Here is a 20145-nt window from a genome sequence, read left to right as displayed (position 1 = left end):
GACAATACCTGGCTTTCCTAGGCAGCGGTCCCTGCGGCCTTCCACAGTGTTTGTGTCCCTGGGTACTTGAGATTAGGGAGTGGTGATGACTCTTAACCAGCATGCTGCCTTCAAGCATCTGTTTAACAAAGCACATCTTGCACCGCCCTTAATCCATTTAACCCTGAGTGGACACAGCACATGTTTCAGAGAGCACGGGGTTGGGGGTAAGGTTATAGATTAACAGCATCCCAAGGCTGAAGAATTTTTCTTAGTACAGAACAAAATGGAGTCTCCTATGTCTACTTCTTTCTACACAGACACAGTAACAATCTGATCTCTCTTTCTTTTCCCCACATTGGCAAAAATGTCCTTTATTATTTTGAGGTATGTTTCTTCTGTCTAGTGTGTTGAGGGTTTTTATCATGAAGGGAGGCTGAATTTTATCAAATTCTTTTCCACATTTGTTGAGATGATCGTAGGGTTTTTGTTTTTTAATTCTGTCTATGTGATGAATCACATTTATTGATTTACATATGTTGAGCCATCCTTGCATCTCTGCAATAGAACCCAGTTGATCATAATGTATCATCTTTTTGATGTACTGTTGGATTTGGTTTGCTAGTATTTTGCTGAGGATTTTTGCATCTATATTCATCAGAGATATTGATCTGTAGTTTTCTTTTTTAGTTGTGTCCTTACCTGGCTTTAGTATCAAGAGGATACTGACTCCATAGAATGAATTAGGGAAGATTTTCTCCTTCTTGATATTTTGGAGCAGTTTCAGTAGGAGTGGTACCAGTCATTCTTTCTGCATTAGATAGAATTCAGCTGTGAGTTCATCTAGTTCTGGGATTTTTAGTTGTTCTTGGGAAGCTTTTTATTACTGATTCAATTTTACTACTTTTTCAAATTGTTATGTTCAGGATTTCTATTTCTTTCTGGTTTAGTCTTTTGATATAATAGTATACTTTCTCCAGAAAGTTTGTTTATGGCTTTTATTGGATTTATTCCTGGCCACTTTATAGTTTATGCTGCTATCGTAAGTAGTATCATTTTTAAGAATTAAATTTTCTAACTGTGCTTCAGAATAGAAATACAATTAGTATTTTATTTAGTTTTTGCAGCTATAGCCTTTTTAGAACTCTTTCATTCTAATAATTTGATGATTCCTTTGGGTTTTCTGTATATAAATAATGACCACTTGGGGTCTTCTGCAATCCTTTTAGCTTTTGTTTAGTTTTTTTCCCCTGTACTAGTTAGGACCTCTAGTATGCTGAATAGAAATGGTGATAGCAAGCGTCTTTGTCTTGTTTCTGTCCTTAAGGAAAATACTTTCAACATTTTCTTGTCAAATTAAGATGTTTGTTATGTGGCTTTATATACAATTGCTCTTAGACACTAAGTTTGTTATGAGCTTTTAGCAAAAATTTTAAATTTTACCTAATTTATCTTTTTCTATCTAATGCTTTTTCTGTATTTATTGACATGGCAAATGATTGTTTTCTGTTCCTTAACCTGTCAATGCAGTGAATAAGAGTACTCAACTTTCAATCAATGAATCAAATTTGTGTTATTGGTACAAACCTTACTTGGTCAAGATATACGTATTCTTTTTCTTTCTGAGACAGGATCTCTGTTGCAGGCTGGAATGCAGTGGCACAATTTTGGCTCACTGCAACCTCCACCTCGTAGATTCAAGTGATTTTCTTGCCTCGGCCTCCCAAGTAGCTGGGATTACAGGCATGCACCACCATGCCTGGCTAATTTATTTATTTATTTATTATTATACTTTAAGTTTTAGGGTACATGTGCACGATGTGCAGGTTAGTTACATATGTATACATGTGCTATGCCGGTGTGCTGCACCCACCAACCCGTCAACTAGCATTAGGTATATCTCCCAATGCTGTCCCTCCCCCCCACACCCCACAACAGTCCCCAGAGTGTGATGTTCCCTTCCTGTGTCCATGTGTTCCCATTGTTCAATTCCCACCTATGAGTGAGAATATGTGGTGTTTGGTTTTTTGTTATTGCGATAGTTTACTGAGAATGATGATTCCCAATTTCATCCATGTCCCTACAAAGGACATGAACTCATCATTTTTTATGGCTGCATAGTATTCCATGGTGTATATGTACCACATTTTCTTAATCCAGTCTATCATTGTTGGACATTTGGGTTGGTTCCAAGTCTTTGCTATTGTGAATAGTGCCGCAATAAACGTATGTGTGCACGTGTCTTTATAGCAGCATGATTTATAGTCCTTTGGGTATATACCCAGTAATGGGATGGCTGGGTCAAATGGTATTTCTAGTTCTAGATCCCTGAGGAATTGCCACACTGACTTCCACAATGGTTGAACTAGTTTACAGTCCCACCAACAGTGTAAAAGTGTTCCTATTTCTCCACATCCTCTCCAGCACCTGTTGTTTCCTGACTTTTTAATGATTGCCATTCTAACTGGTGTGAGATGGTATCTCATTGTGGTTTTGATTTGCATTTCTCTGATGGCCAGTGATGATGAGCATTTTTTCATGTGTTTTTTGGCTGCATAAATGTCTTCTTTTGAGAAGTGTCTGTTCATGTCCTTCACCCACTTTTTGATGGGGTTGTTTGTTTTTTTCTTGTAAATTTGTTTGAGTTCATTGTAGATTCTGGATATTAGCCCTTTGTCAGATTAGTAGGTTGCGAAGATTTTCTCCCATTTTGTGGGTTGCCTGTTCACTCTGATGGTAGTTTCTTTTGCTGTGCAGAAGCTCTTTAGTTTAATGAGATCCCATTTGTCAATTTTGTCTTTTGTTGCCATTGCTTTTTGTGTTTTAGACATGAAGTCCTTGCCCATGCCTATGTCCTGAATGGTAATGCCTAGGTTTTCTTCTAGGGTTTTTATGGTTTTAGGTCTAACGTTTAAGTCTTTAATCCATCTCGAATTGATTTTTGTATAAGATGTAAGGAAGGGATCCAGTTTCAGCTTTCTACATATGGCTAGCCATGTTTCCCAGCACCATTTATTAAATAGGGAATCCTTTCCCCATTGCTTGTTTTTCACAGGTTTGTCAAAGATCAGATAGTTGTAGATATACAGCATTATTTCTGAGGGCTCTGTTCTGTTCCATTGATCTATATCTCTGTTTTGGTACCAGTACCATGCTGTTTTGGTTACTGTAGCCTTGTAGTATAGTTTGAAGTCAGGTAGCATGATGCCTCCAAGCTTTGTTCTTTTGGCTTAGGATTGACTTGGCAATGCAGGCTCTTTTTTGGTTCCACGTGAACTTTAAAGTAGTTTTTTCCAATTCTGTGAAGAAAGTCATTGGTAGCTTGATGGGGATGTCATTGAATCTATAAATTACCTTGGGTAGTATGGCCATTTTCACGATATTAATTCTTCCTACCCATCAGCATGGAATGTTCTTCCATTTGTTTCTATCCTCTTTTGTTTCATTGAGCAGTGGTTTGTTGTTCTCCTTGAAGAGGTCCTTCACATCCCTTGTAAGTTGGATTCCTAGGTATTTTATTCTCTTTGAAGCAATTGTGAATGGGAGTTCACTCCTGATTTGGCTCTCTGTTTGTCTGTTATTGGTGTATAAGAATGCTTGTGATTTTTGTACGTTGATTTTGTATCCTGAGACTTTGCTGAAGTTGCTTATCAGCTTAAGGAGATTTTGGGCTGAGACAATGGGGTTTTCTAGATAAACAATCATGTCATCTGCAAACAGGGACAATTTGACTTCCTCTTTTCCTAATTGAATACCCTTTATTTCCTTCTCCTGCCTGAATTCCCTGGCCAGAACTTCCAACACTATGTTGAATAGGAGTGGTGAGAGAGGGCATCCCTGTCTTGTGCCAGTTTTCAAAGGGAATGCTTCCAGTTTTTGCCCATTCAGTATGATATTGGCTGTGGGTTTGTCATAGATAGCTCTGATTATTTTGAGATACGTCCCATCAATACCTAATTTATTGAGAGTTTTTAGCATGAAGGGTTGTTGAATTTTGTCAAAGGCCTTTTCTGCATCTATTGAGATAATCATGTGGTTTTTGTCTTTGGCTCTGTTTATATGCTGGATTACATTTATTGATTTGTGTATATTGAACCAGCCTTGCATCCCAGGGATGAAGCCCACTTGATCATGGTGGATAAGCTTTTTGATGTGCTCCTGGATTCGGTTTGCCAGTATTTTATTGAGGATTTTTGCATCAATGTTCATCAAGGATATTGGTCTAAAATTCTCTTTTTTGATTGTGTCTCTGCCCGGCTTTGGTATCAGGATGATGCTGGCCTCATAAAATGAGTTAGGGAGGATTCACTCTTTTTCTGTTGATTGGAATAGTTTCAGAAGGAATTGTACCAGTTCCTCCTTGTACCTCTGGTAGAATTTGGCTGTGAATCCATCTGGTCCTGGACTCTTTTTGGTTGTTAAACTATTAATTATTGCCACAATTTCAGCTCCTTTTATTGGTCTATTCAGAGATTCGACTTCTTCCTGGTTTAGTCTTGGGAGAGTGTATGTGTCGAGGAATTTATCCATTTCTTCTAGATTTTCTAGTTTATTTGCGTAGAAGTGTTTGTAGTAATCTCTGATGGTAGTTTGTATTTCTGTGGGATCGGTGGTGATATCCCCTTTATCATTTTTTATGGCATCTATTTGTTTCTTCTAGAGATGGGGTTTCACGCCATGTTGCCCCAGGCTGGTCTTGAACTCTTGACCTCAAGTGATTCACCTTCCTCAGCTGCCCAAAGTGCTGGAATTACAGGCGTGAGCCACTGCACCCGGCCTAGGTTATATATATTCTTATACACTGCTGTATTCATTTAACTAGGTTTATGTGTGTGTGGGTGACAAGTGATTTTAGTTTAGTTTTTATTGCTTAGTGTATTCTAGTTTGGTTTTGGTATCAAATGTAAGCTTGCCTCATACAATGAGTAAAGAGTGTTTCCTCTGTGTGATTATTTGAAGAGTTTATATGAAATTGTCTTCTCTTTTTTTTTGGTAGAATTTACCTGTAAAGTCATCAGTACTGCACATTTTGTTAATAGAAAGGTTAACTACTGATTTAAATTCTTTGATGTTTATTGGTTTGAATCATTCAATTTTTCTCTTGAGTCAGTTTTAATATTTTGTATTTTTATAGTAATTTATCCATTTCATTTACATTTTCAAATTTTCTCCTCTAAACTATTAGTAATACATGACCATAACATCCTCTCATTTTTCTTTTTGTGGGAGCCTGTCTCTCCATCAAGCCAAGAATCTCCTTTAATGATATCTAGGACAGGTTGTTCCTCCTCGTCTGTCAGTGACCCATCAGCCTGTTGAGTACTGGGGAAGCACAGTGCCTGTTACTGGCAAGTTTACTGCCTTCATTCTTTCTAATCTTGATCTTTTATGCTGAAGTGTTAGTTTATCTATTCTCAGAAGACATTTGGACAAAAATGCTATTTTTAATTTCAAATGAAAATTATGTTGTTAGAATTAGTCTCTGTATAAATCAGAGTCACATTTTAAATTTTCCTAGGACTTGGTTGGTTTTCTCAGCACACTCTCAGCTCCTGGCAGGTTTGCATAGAGCAGGCAACAATGGGAAAGTGCTCACAGAAAATTTTGCATCTATAAGTGGATAGGGAGGTGATGGAATAGGGCATATGTGGGAAGATACAGGAAAAGGAAAACTGTTCTTACTCCTTACCCGCCCCCCCCATAGGAGATGGTGCTGTACAGCGGGAAAGAGAATTGGATTATAGTTTTCTGCTCCCTAATTGTAACTTTCTTTTTCATTTATTTCAGGAAGTTATATATACAATGGTGTAAAATTGAAAAGTTATTAAAAACTATACAGAGAAAAAACTTCATTTTCACGCCTGACCTCTACTTCCCTTACTGGAGTAACGACTCCATTTTATTGTTTTCTTCCGGAGATATTCTATCTATATAAGCATAGTGGTATATTGCTTAAAAATACACAAATAACACTGCCTGTGTGATTTTAGGAAAATCTCTTGAACTTCATTATTAACTTCTTTAAATTCCTAGATGAAAATACTTACACAAACCTGGAAAAACTCAGTGATTTTGTAGAAATCAATCAAGTAGTGTTTGTGAACATGTTTGGAAAATCATCAGTTATTTTATAAGTTTGAGATGGAGGGAGGGTAGTCATGAAAGTTTTACTTTTCTACACAAAAGACAATGAGTCACATGGGATCTGACTTGACAAGAGTGATTCTGAATTGGCAGCCTGGCTGTGTGTCAGCAGCCCCCTGGCTAATTCCTCTCATAGTGTGTTGGGGTTTTCTTCATGGCTAATGAGGAGATCTATTCGCTTGAGATAGGAAGTGGAAGCTTGCCAGAGTGTGAGACACCTCACTTTCCTCCCTCCCTCCTTCCCTTTGCCCTTCCTCACGTTTAGGGAGTTAGTATTGGAACTTTGGCTGATGCAACAGTTTGAGTCACTGTCTCTCTGTGCTGTGGGATCCACTCACTTTTAATGGGGAGTTGATGGAATCACTCCTCCCTCCCCCACCCTGACTTCCTCCTCTAATTGGCTCTCAGGGGACTCCAACTCCTGCTAATCAACCATGGCAGAGCTGCTGCAGAGAGCCCGAAACTGGCACTCAGGGACCTAGGTTCTGTTGTGACTCTGCTCCTTCAACTTTCTTTTCTAATCTGTTAAAACAACTTTGCCTTTGGATTAGGCCTGGGAGAATGGGGTTCCTTTGGGCATTGCCTTTGCAGAGACAGTTTTAATAATGCCAGCATCTTCTAGACTTTGCCAACTATTGTGTTCAGCTTGAATCTTTTTATTCATGGTGGCAGAGAGGGGAAAAGATTAGGTATCTGTTTCATGTGTCCACAGTGGGGGAGGCAAATGATAGGAGAAAAGAGAAGATGAAAGAGCATATCATTTGAGGAATGTGAGCCTCAACATATTGGTCCACATACTGCTTCTCTATTAGCAAAAGGCCTTGTGGAAAACTTACCTTGTCTGCTTCTGTTTGTCACTGCCCAGAGGAAAGTAAACCTAGTTGTGCAGCTTTGGCCAATATTATTATTGGGTTACATTTAAAAAAGTTATTTTAAAAATAGGCTTTGTCTTTTAAAGCAGTTTCAGGTTCACAGCAATATTGAATAGAAAGTACAGAGGGTTTCTATATACCTCTTCACCAACCTTATGCCCAACCTTCCCCATTATCAATGTCCCATCCCAGAGTGGTACACTTCCTATAATTCATGAGCCTACATTGACACATCCTTATCACTCCAAGTCCATGGTTTATATTGGAGTTCACTCTTAGTGTTGTACATTTTATGGGTTTTGACAAATGTATACTGACATGTATTTATTAAACTATCATACAGAATCGTTTCATTGCTGTACAATCCTATGTGTTCTACCTGTGTGTCCTTATCTCCCCTCCTCCCTCACCCCTGGAAACCACTATCTTTTTTCATTTTTTAATTAAAAATTTTTTTTTCTTATGCCTCCCAGGGCTTCCTTGCTAGAAACCACTATCTTTTTACTGTTTCTATACTTTTGCCTTTTTCAGAATGTCATAAAATTGGAATCAGAGTATGTACCTTTTCAGGTTGACTCCTTACTCCATGGATTACCTTTCAAAATGGACATTTAAAAATAATTTTAGAATGATACTAAAGCTACAATAGAGGGTAAGTGTATCTATGGCATACCCAAGCATATTTGTGTAACCTCTTTTTTGGGGGTTGGGGGAACAGGGTCTCGCTCTGTTATTCAGGTTAGAGTTCAGTGGAATGATCATAGCTCACTGCACCCATAAACTCGTGGTCTTAAGCAATCCTCCTACCTCAGTCTCCCACATAGCTGGGACATTAGCCACCAAGCCTGGCTAATTTAAAAAAAATTCTTAGTAGAGGCCGGGTGCAGTGGCTCACACCTGTAATCCCAGCACTTTGGGAGGCCGAGGCAGGCGGATCATGAGGTCAGGAGATCGCGACCATCCTGGCTAACACGGTGAAACCCCGTCTCTACTAAAATACAAAAAAAAAATTAACCGGGCTTGGTGGTGGGCACCTGTAGTCCCAGCTACTGGGGAGGCTGAGGCAGGAGAATGGCGTGAACCCGGGAGGCGGAGCTTGCAGTGAGCCGAGATCGCACCACTGCACTCCAGCCTGGGTGGCAGAACGAGACTCCATCTCAAAAAAAAAAAAAAAAATTATTAGTAGAGATGAGGTCTTACTATGTTAACCAGGCTGGTCTCAAACTCTTGGATTCAAGTGATCCTCCTGCCTCAATCTCCCAAAGTGCTGTGATTATAAGTGTGAGCCACTGTGCCTGGCCTGTAACCTTTGTTTTGACAAATGGATAGTATTAAAGGAAATTTTCTTGATACGCAGTTTAGTCTGTTCTTGGACAAGCAATGCAGTAGGTTTGACTTTGAGTGCTTTATTACTAACACTTTCTGGCCAGGCCACAGTTAAGGTCCGGTTGGAAAACACTTGTTGAGGTTTGAATTGTAACCTTTTTACTGGATGATAGGGTATTTTTTAGCCCATAGATAAACTTGCTTAAAAAACCAAGAAAGACACTGAAATCTCAGTCTATACATAGTTTCATCAGTGTTTATTGGGAACTGTGTTCTGGATAAAGCAATCGTATGTATACATTTTTATTATGTAATGTATAAGTGATTTGTAAATTATAAAGATCTCCTACGATACTGTGGTGTCTTCTAGATAGAAAATATATCTTTCTAAAATGTGTGCCTAATTCTAGTGTAGTGTCAATTTATAGTACACAATAAATATTTAATGAATAAACATTATTCTGTTGTTGATTACAATTCTCTGAACGCATATTTTTCTATACCTGCTTACTTTAGATTTATAAGATTAGATTCTCACATTTTTTTCATGCATTTACATATTTATATTGATAGGATAAACAAACAAACAAACAGAAAAAGCTTCATGGTCCTGTTTATCTTTGCTCAGGGCAGGATGGCTGTAGAGGAGGTTACACCAGAATCTCAGCAGATAAATATAGAAATAGATCCAGGGTGATGGGATTTTAGAGCATGGTCCCACTGAATGGGAGAGTACATAGTTGGCCAGTGTGGATACGGAAAAAGCAATGCTTCCCAGGATATATGGAATCCCAGTGAGGGGATAAGCCCCCTATCCTTTTCATTTTCTCCAGTTTTGCTTCTCTTTGTACTCCTTTTCTGGTGTGGTCATTTTCTGTTTGCCCTGCCAGATGGTTGAACTATTGGGAGGGAGAACTATATCCTTCCTTTTATTTATTTGCCTGTTGCTGTAGCACAGGCAAGCAAAGAGGAAAACTTTACTTCCTAAAGTCATAAGTGTTTATGGGACACCTTCTCTAGTATTGGATATAGCCATACAAGGGTTTGAAGATGAATAAGGTCATACAGCTGGTAAGTGGTAAGCCTAGGCTTAAGTCTGGGTCTCTTGCCACCAAGTCAGTACTTTTATGCCAGGCTGTTTTGTGGGGTTATTATGTCAAAGTAGGAAAGTGAAAATAATTGCTTTCTTATTTAAACCCATGAAAATATAATGCAAGAAAGATTAAATTCTGTTTAGATTAGTGAATACAGTGCCTAATTCTTCTTGAGTGTTTAGATTTAATTTTTCAATGCAGTTTTTTCATGTATTTGATGTTTATACTTTCCTGTTTTATAGAAAAATATATAATTGAGGATAAAACTGTGTTAATCTAGCCTTTTAGTAAACCACTTCTTTGGATTTCTAGTTATACTGTTAGAACATAACCAGTGTGGTAGTTTTCTTAATATTATCTTTCAAGACCCTAGGAAAAAGTAAGCAGCCAAAGTCAAACCTCAGAATGATGGCAAATTTTATTCTAAAAAATATGAGAAGATCTTATTAAACCAAGGGGTAAATTGAGTTGGTGGTTGTAGTAAATACTATTATGAAAAATAGAAGGCTGGACATGGTGGCTCACACCTGTAATCCCAGCACTTTGGGAGGCTGAGGTGGGAGGATCGCTTGAGCTCAGGAGTTTAAGACTAGCCTGGGCAACATAAGGAGACCCTGTCTCTATGAAAAAATACAAAAAAAAAATTAGCTGGGCATTGTGGTGTGTGCCTGAAATCCCAGTTACTTGGGAAGCTAAAGTGGAAGGATTGCATGAGCCTAAGAGTTGGAGGCTGTAGTGAGCAATGATCACACCACTGCACTCCAGCCTGGGTGACAGAGAGAAACCCTGTCTCAAAAAAAAAAAAAAAAAAAAAAAATGCTTGCCCAGGGATGGCATGTTTAGAGAACTGAGGAGAGCACAGAATTAGAATAATACAGACAAGTTGTATTGGATAGGATCAACCTCTCAAGAGTGTTCATAAAGTTTTCCTTTATTTATTTATTTTTTAAGACAGAGTCTCACTCTGTCGCCCAGACTGGAGTGCAGTGGCACAATCTTGGCTCCCTGCAACCTCCACCTCCTGGGTTCAAGTTATTCTCCTACCTCAGCCTCCTAAATAGCTGGGATTACAGGCGTGCACCACCATGCCTGGCTAATTTTTGCATTTTTAGTAGAGATGTGGTCTCACCATGTTGGCCAAGCTGGTCTTGAACTCCTGACCTCAAATGATCCACCCACCTTGACCTCCCAAAGTACTGGGATTACAGGCATGAGCCACTGTGCCCAGCCGAGTTCATAAAGTTTTAAAGCTCTAAATATATTCATCTTTAAGAACAATTCTTGGAGGAGAAACTGAATTAGAGTAACTTAATTTCACCAGGATATTATAGAGATTCATCAACTGAACAGACGTGCTGTTCTTTAAGGCAGTGCTTAGAAAATGGTACATTAAGAAAATGATGTTTGACATAGTGGAGTAAACTAGAAGGGATTTGGAGGCATCTGTATAGATTTTGTTGAAAAATGTCTTATTTTTTTATTAGAAGAAAAATATAACAATATGATTAAATTCATAACAAAAATTCAAATGTATTAAATTTTAAATTTCTATAAAATTTGTAAATAAAATATTTTCCTTTTTTTCTTTTTTTTTCTTTTCACTGACCACATCTACTTGGACCAAATTTTCAATAAAAACTTTCAGCTTGTTTATATATATGTAAGTTTATTTATTTATTTATTTATTTAGATGGAGTTTTGCTCTGTGGCCCAGGCTGGAGTGCAGTGATAACGATCTTGGCTCACTGCAACCTCTGCCTCCCAGGTTCAAGCGATGCTCCTGCCTCAGCCTCCCAAGTACCTGGGACTATAGGTGCACACCACCATGCCTGGCTAATTTTTGTATTTTTAGTAGAGACGGGGTTTCATATATTGCCAGGCTGCTCTTGAACTCATGACCTCAATTGATTCACCCCCCTCGCCCTCCAAAAGTGCTGGGATTACAGGCATGAGCCACTGTGCCTGGGCATAAATTTTAAATATGTAACTTTTAATACTAGTTTTTTTGCTTGGTTTGGTTCATACAATTCCTGATAGAAACTTCAAGTAATGATCTCTTCAACTTCTAGATAATCACCAGTGATGAGAAGTTTTCTTTGCAATGTACATGGTAGCAAGTGGTAGAAGGTATATATTGCCTTTTCTATATTTTTATATTTTACTATAATAATAGTTGGACATCTTTCTATTAATGAGAGCTTGGATAAATCAGTTTTTATGGATTGTGCTTAGGGTGTGATTATGCCTTAAGTCTCATAGCTCTTCTTTTCCTGTCATTGACAAATGTAATGTTAAAGGGTCTTGTGAGGAAACTTTTAACAGTACATTAATAGTGAATCAAACTTTCTTATATCAAGTATAAAAAAATGGCTAAGATTTCCCTCAAGCATATACCAGTATTGCTCTACTAGTCTTAATAAATCTTCAGGATTCAAATAATAAACCTGACTAAACATTACTAGTGAACCACTGTTTTTTGTTTGTTAGTTTTTTTGAAACAGAGTCTCTCGGTCTGTCGCCCAGGTTGGAGTGCAGTGGCATGGTCTCTACTCACTGTGACCTCTGGCTCCTGGGCTCAAGCCACTTTTGTGCCTCTTGAGTAGCTGGGACTGCAGATGTGTGCCACCACGCCCAGCTAATTTTTTGTTTGTTTGTTTTTGTAGAGATGGGGTTTTGCCATCTGGCCAGGCTGGTTTTGAACTCTTGAGCTCAAGTGATCCGTACACCTTGGCCTCCCAAAGTGTTGGGATTACAGGTGTGAACCACCACACCCAGCCTAGTAAACCACTTTAAGCTTACTTTTTAAAAGTTGTCTTTTGTTTTGAATCTATATACATTTTCAGTACATTAATATAATTAATGTAGGCCTTGGTATTTTTGAATGAGATCATTCAGGTGATCAGAAATATCAGGTAAGCCATTTTTTTAAAAAATAAACTTTTATTTTGGAATAATTTTATATTTACAGAAAAATTTCAAAGATAATATAGAGAATCTCCACATATTCCTTACCAGTTTCCCCCACTGTTAACAACTTCTATTTCCATCTCCATGGTACATTAAGAAGCTAACTACTTAACTAACATGTTGTTAGTAACTAAATTCCAGATTTTATTTGGATTTCACCAATTTTCCATTAATGCCCTTTCTTTCTTTCAGGATCTGATCCAGTGTACAACATTTCATTTAGATGTCATGTCTCTCCATCCGAGTCTGTGAAAGTTTCTGTCTTTTCTTGTTTTTTTTATGACCTTGACAGTCCAGAGGAGTATTGTGTAGAATGATCCCCATTCAGGGTTTGATGTTTTTCTGCATGATTAGACTGTAGTAATGGATTTTGGGGAAACAGACCATGCAGATGAAGTGCCTTTCTCAATACATCTGTATTAGTCAATTTTCGCACTGCTATAAAGAAATACCTGGGACTGCATAATTTATAAATAAAAGAGGTTTAATTGGCTCATGGTCTTGCAGGCTTCACAGGAAGCACAATGGCTTCTGGGGAGGCTTCAGGAAACTTTGGCGGAAAGCGAAGGAGAAGCAGGCATGTTTTAGATGGTTGGAGCAGAAGGAAGAGAGAGAGAGAGAGGGCAGAGGTGCTATACACTTTTCAACAACCAGATCTCATAAAAAACTCTTATCATGAGAACAGCACCAAAGGGAGAATTCTGCCTTCATGATCTTACCAACTCCCACCAGGCCCCACCTCCAACACTGGGGATTACAATGCGACATGAGATGTGGGTGGGGACACAAATCCAAACCATATCAGCATCATATCAGAGGTAAACAATATCACATGACATCACTGGTGATGTTAGTCTTCATCACTTGGTCAATGTAGTGTTTGCCATGTTTCGCCACTCTAAAGTTACTATTTTCCCTTTTCCCTAATATTCTTAGGAAGTAAGTCACTAAGTCTAGGCCACCTTTGGGGAAAGGGGATTAAGCTCCACCTCCTGGGGGAGTATATACATACATTATTTGGAAGTCATCTGTAAGGAAAATTTGTCTCCCCTTTTCTGTTTATTTATTCAGTCATTTATTAACACCAGTGTGTACTTACATATATTTATTTCATAGTTTGGGTTATAATCCAATACTACCCTATTATTTTCTTGCTCAAATTGTGCCAGCTGATCTTGAGAGCTCTTTTAGATTGGCTCTTGTATCACCTTCATGTGTTTCTATCCTTTTGAGTTTTGAGTACTTTTTGGTACTACAAAATTCGCTGGGTTCATTCTGTATTTTCCTTGTCCCAGCCCTAGAAACAGTCATTTCTTGAAGGAGCCCTACTACCTTTTATTGGAGAATGGTATTTTAAAACCAAGATCTGGGTGCTGAGTGCTTATTGCTTCTAGGCACTTTTGGCAGACAAAACTACATAATATATGTCTTTATACATATATTATGCATGTACATACACGTGTCCATACTTATTTCTATATCTGTGTATATATTACACTAAATATGAATTTATAAGGGTGTCTCTGACTCTAACCAGTAGCACAGAGTTTATTCTTGCTTTGTTTTCTTGCTTTACTGTAATGTCTCTCTTTGATGGGCTGGTAGGCTGCTGAAAGATGGCCATCCCAAGATGTCTATATTATAATTTCTGTAACTTTTAGATGTGTTACTTCACATGGCAAAAGAGAGTTCACATATATTATTAGGCTAAAGATCTTGTAATGTGGGAGTTTATCCTGAATTATCTGGGTGGGTCAATGTCATTACAGGAGTCCTTATTAGAGAGAGGCAGGAGGGTTGAAGACAAAGAAGGCAATGTGATAACTAAAGGGGGGAGGGAGGGAGGGATGGAAGGAGGGAGAGAGAGAAAGAGAGAGAGAGAGAGATATGAAGAGAGATACTAAGATTAGAAGATCCTATGCTGCTAGATTTGAAGATGGAGGAACAGGCCATTAGCTAAAGAATGTAGGTGGGCTCTAGAAGCTGGCAAAGTCAAAGAAAACAGATTCTCCAGAGCATCAAGAGGCAACCTGGACGTCTTTACTTTAGTGAGGCTGATTCTGGACTTCTGACTTCCAGAACTACAGGATAATGAATAAGTGTTTGTTGTTTTAAGCCACTAAATTGGTGGTAATTTGTTGCAGCATGTATTAGTCCATTCTCACACTGCAGTAAGGAACTACCTGGCCAGGCGCGGTAGCCCACGCCTGTAATCCCAGCACTTTGAGAGGCCGAGGTGGGCGGATCATGAGGTCAGGAGATTGAGACCATTCTGGCTAACATGGTGAAACCCTGTCTCTACTAAAAATACAAAAAATTAGCTAGGCGTGGTGGCGGGCACCTGTAGTCCCAGGTACCCAGGAGGCTGAGGCAGGAGAATGGTGTGAACCTGGGAGGCAGAGCTTTCAGTGAGCCGAGATCGCGCCACTGCACTCCAGCCTGGGTGACAGAGCAAGACTCCATCTAAAAACAAACAAACAAACAAACAAAAAACTACCCGAGACTGGGTAACTTTTAAAGAAAAGAGGTTTAACTGACTCACAGTTCCACAGACTGTATAGGAGGCATGGCTGGAAAGGTGTTAGGAAACTTACAATCATGATGAAAGAGTGAAGGGTAAGCAAGCACATCTTCACATGGCAGAAGAGAGAGACAGCAAAGTACTACACACTTTCAAACAATCAGATCTAGTGAGAACCCACTATTATGAGAAGAGTAAGGGGGGAATATCCCCCCCACGATCCAATCACCTCCTACCAGGTCCCTCCCCCAACACTGGGAATTACAATTCGACATGAGATTTGGGTGGGACACAGAGCCAAATGATATCACAGCAGCAATGAGAAACTGAGGAACCTGGATTCTACCATCTACCAATCATTTACTTACTTGTTTAACCACAGTATACTTTTGAAGCTGTTTTAGATGCAGTTTCAGAATCGCTAACCACACCACTATAAAGAAATCAACCAACTAAAGCACAGTATTTATGTACAATTGCTTTTATCTTTAGCCTTACAATTTCCAATCAAAGCACCCTTTTTGAAGTTACTTAGATTAGTGCCTCTTTTCCCTACCCCTGTCAGTGTAGATATGTCACTTATTTGTGATATGGTTAGATTCATTTGTCACAGTCTTTATCCCATCTTTGGATTCCCCTACATCTTGGTTTATTCTTTTCTAGATGCGTACATTAAAATTCACTTTTTGTGATGTACAGTTCTATGGGTTTTGACACATGCATGGAGTTATGTATCTACTACCCACCCCAGTACCATAAAAAATAATTCCGTCACTCTAAAAGTTTTCCTGTGCATTTTCTTTGTTGTCAACCACTCCCTTCGTTCTTTTTTTTTCTTTCCTTTTTTTTTTTGAGACAGGGTCTCACTCTGTCACCAGGCTGGAGTGCGGTGGCATGATCTTGGCTCACTGCAACCTCTGCCTCCTGGGTTCAAGCGATTCTTCTGCCTCAGCCTCCTGAGTAGCTGGGACTACAGGCATGCGCCACCGTGCCCAGCTAATTTTTGTATTTTTAGTAGAGATGGGGTTTCACCATGTTGGCCAGGATGGTCTTGATATCTTGACCTCGTGATCTGCCCACCTCGGCTTCCCAAAGTGCTGGGATTACAGGTGTGAGCCACTGCACCCGGCCTCCCTTCTTTCTTATCCCTTGGCAATTACTACTGTGTTTTCCATCCCTATAGCTTTGCTATTTCCAGAATATTATTGTATTAATGGAATCATGCAATATGTAGTCTTTTGGATTGTTCTTTCACTTCTAAAATGCATTTAAGATCATCTATGGCTGTGTTGTTACATGATTCAATGGCTCATTCCTTCTTGTTGCTGAGTAATATTCCATTGTATGGATATACCACAGCTTATCTATTTCCTTGTTGAAGACATTTTAGTTGCTTTCAGTTTTTAGTGACTATGAATAAAACTGGTATAGACGTTTGTATATAGATTTTTGTGTGGACATGTTTTAAAATCACCTGGGTAAATACTTAGAAATATGATTGCTGGCTATATGGTTAAGTTTTATACTTAGTTTTATAAGAAACTGCCACACTGTCTTCCAGAGTGGCTGTATCATTTTGCATTCCCACCAACAATGATTGAGAGTTTGCTATTCTGCATCCTTGCCAGCATTTATTATTGTCAGTCTTTTGGATTTTAGCCATTTTAATGGGTGTGTAGTGGCAATTCATTGTAGTTTTAATTTATTGCTTTAATGACATGATGTTGAGCATCTTTTCATGTGTTTATTTGCCGTTTGTATATTACAGTATGTACACCAAACTCCCGTGACATGCAAGTTACCTATATAACAAACCTGTACATGTACCCCTGAACCTAAAATAAAATTAAAAAATAAAATAAAGCAGGTTGCATATATACAAAAATAATTGCTATTTTAGCAATAGCTGTGCATTCATCAAGTTGATGGAAAATAATTTGCTAATTTTATTCTGTGGTCTAGTTTTTTTTTTCATTTTTTAAATTGTAAAATACATATAGCAGAAAATTTACCAACTTAACCACCATTAAATGTACAATTCAATGGTTTTAAGCAAATTCATACTGTTGTACAACCATCATATGGTCTAGTTATTTAATACATTGAGCTATGGAGTCATTAAAAAGTAGTAGTTGAGCTATCTTCATTGCCACTGATTCATTCAAGATTTGCTGGAAATCATCTTTGATACAGTCTTTAACTAATGACTCAGAATGGTATATGTTTTTTTAGGTTTAGCAACTTGAATGCTTAGGTTTAGCAAGAGATAATGCTCAAATATGTTCCATAAGAACATATTCCATATGTTCACATGGAATAATGAGCCTTTACTTTAAAAAAATTTTTAATTCAATAATATTTGCTTAAAAAATTCTTTGGTTTTGAACTTAGGTCTATGTTTTGTATGCAAAAGATGCTTACTTTTTGATGGTTTCATTGCATCATTAGCCAATATATCTCTGCAAAATAACACACTATGGTTTTAGTACTTCACACTCAACTATAGCTATGTAATTAAAAATACATGAAGGTTCATACTTTTGAGTAAAACTAGTAGGGACTAGTCTTCATTTCTTGGGAAACATTTCATTGCTATCGTCTGGTTTTTTACAATGTCTACATTCAGAAAGGATGTATCTTTTCTTGAAAAGGAGTCCAGTAAAGTTTATTTTGTCATAAATAAATTAGGATTAAAAATAACATAAATTATATTTCCAAAATTTATACTATTAATTAACAATTTAAAAGGATTATGAAAATAAGCTATAAAAATAAAGTATATGCTTTCTCAATTTTTTTTTACTTTTGATTATAGTTTACAAACCAACTTTAAAATATTACATCTTAATGCAGTTCAACTGTGCATGACTAGTATAAATGGATAGTACTACAATACTCAAACTTGTTTATATCTTGTTCAAGGAGAAGAGACAACTGATCATGTGCTTGGATGTTACCACAATATTGAATTGCTGTAAAAGTTTCTAAAGCTTTCTCTCAATTTCTGTTCTTTTCTCATTGCAGACCATACTTTAAGAAACACTGTCTGAGATTAGGTCACCGTCCTATCCTCTTTTGACTCCTGCAGTACTCTTATAATCTGTCCCCTCCCTTTACCCTTGACCTTTCTTCTCCAGTGTGTTCTTTGGCCTGTCGTGGTGGCTCATGCAGATAATCCCAGCACTTTGGTAGGCTGAGGCAGGAGGATTGCTTGAGCCCAAAAGTTCAAGACCAGCCTGGGCAACAAAGTGAGAATTCATTTCTACAAAAAATACAAAAAATTAGCTGGTTGTGGTGGTGTGTGCCTGTAGCACTGGCTACTCGGGAAGCTGAGGTGGGAGGATCACCTGAGCCCTGGAGGTCAAGTCTGCAGTGAGCTATGATGATGCCACTGTCCTCCAGCCTGGGCTACAAAATGAGACCCTGTCTGAAAAAACAACAAAAGAAACCTTGACCTTTATTCTCCAGTGTGTTCTTTATCCTGTGGTCATACTGATCTTTCAAAAATGTAAATGATTATATCATTCCTGAGTCAAACCTTTCAAACATTTCTCATTGGTCTTAGGATAAAATCCAAAGTTCTCATTTTGATGTATATTACCTTCAGTGAGCTGGCCAATGCTTACCCCTGTTATGTTTTGACATTTCTTCCTTACACTGTATATTCCAGCCAAAACAAACTAATTTTAGTTTCCTGAATGCTTACTCACTTTCATTTCTGATCTTTTGTAAATATTGTTCCTTCTCTTCCATCTCAGTTCATCAGATAATTCCTATTCACCCAGTAGGTGTCAGCAGCTTAGATGTTACTTCTCCTTAACAATTTCCCCATCACCTCCCCATACACCCTTAGATCTTGACTGGGTTATGTGCTACTCTCATGTGCCCTGACAGCATTCTATACTCACTCTGTTATAGCATTTCCCACACTAAATTAAAATTGGCTTTTCATTTATCTGTTTCCCCTCCCTTACACTGTATGTACCATGAGACATAGTGCATTTTGAGGAAACATGAGTGTAGGCAACTGTAGAAAATTCACTTTGTTCAAAAGCTGGAGGCATCACGCTACCTGACTTCAAACTATACTACAAGGCTACAGTAATCAAAACAGCATGGTACTGGTACCAAAACAGAGATATAGACCAATGGAACAGAACAGAGCCCTCAGAAATAATGCCGCATACCTACAACTATCTGATCTTTGACAAACCTGACAAAAACAAGAAATGGGGAAAGGATTCCCTATTTGATAAATGGTGCTGGGAAAACTGGCTAGCCATATGGAGAAAGCTGAAACTGGATCCCTTCCTTACACCTTATACAAAAATTAATTCAAGATGGATTAAAGACTTACATGTTAGACCTAAAACCATAAAAACCCTAGAAGAAAACCTAGGCAATACCATTCAGGACATAGGCATGGGCAAGGACTTCATGTCTAAAACACTGAAAGCAATGGCAACAAAAGCCAAAATTGACAAATGGGATCTAATTAAACTCAAGAGCTTCTGCACAGCAAAAGAAACTACCATCAGAGTGCACAGGCAACCTACAGAATGGGAGAAAATTTTTGCAACCTACTCATCTGACAAAGGGCTAATATCCGGAATCTACAATGAACTCAAACAAATTTACAAAAAAAAAAAAACAAACAACCCCATCAAAAAGTGGGCAAAGGATATGAACAGACACTTCTCAAAAGAAGACATTTATGCAGTCAAAAAACACATGAAAAAATGCTCACCATCACTGGCCATCAGAGAAATGCAAATCAAAACCACAATGAGATACCATCTCACACCAGTTAGAATGGCAATCATTAAAAAGTCAGAAACAACAGGTGCTGGAGAGGATGTGGAGAAACAGGAACACATTTACACTGTTGGTGGGACTGTAAACTAGTTCAACCATTGTGGAAGTCAGTGTGGCAATTCCTCAGGGATCTAGAACTAGAAATACCATTTGACCCAGCCATCCCATTACTGGGTATATACCCAAAGGATTATAAATCATGCTGCTATAAAGACACATGCACACGTATGTTTATTGCGGCACTATTCACAATAGCAAAGGCTTGGAACCAACCCAAATGTCCAACAATGATAGACTGGATTAAGAAAATGTGGCACATATACACCATGGAATACCATGCAGCCATAAAAAATGATGAGTTCATTTCCTTTGTAGGGACATGGATGAAGCTGGAAACCATCATTCTCAGCAAACTATCACAAGGACA

The 20145-nt window shown here is 38.2% G+C and overlaps 1 long non-coding RNA gene across 2 annotated transcripts; it reads left to right on the top strand.

Moving 5' to 3' along the window:
* The first annotated feature begins 364 nt into the window (after positions 1-364).
* On the top strand, positions 365-12875 carry LOC124903279 (uncharacterized). 2 transcript variants are annotated; one of them, XR_007064057.1, is made up of 2 exons: positions 365-7647; positions 12575-12875. It is a non-coding gene; the product is annotated as an uncharacterized LOC124903279 (long non-coding RNA). The 2 variants fall into 2 exon arrangements; XR_007064056.1 differs by lacking the exon at positions 365-7647 and adding an exon at positions 11380-11542.
* The last annotated feature ends 7270 nt before the right edge of the window (positions 12876-20145 follow it).

Source organism: Homo sapiens, chromosome 14, assembly GCF_000001405.40.
Source record: "Homo sapiens chromosome 14, GRCh38.p14 Primary Assembly".
NCBI classification, from domain to species: Eukaryota; Metazoa; Chordata; class Mammalia; order Primates; family Hominidae; genus Homo; species Homo sapiens.
The sequence above is the reverse complement of the archived record's forward strand: the minus strand, read 5'-3'. Positions and strand labels throughout refer to the sequence as shown.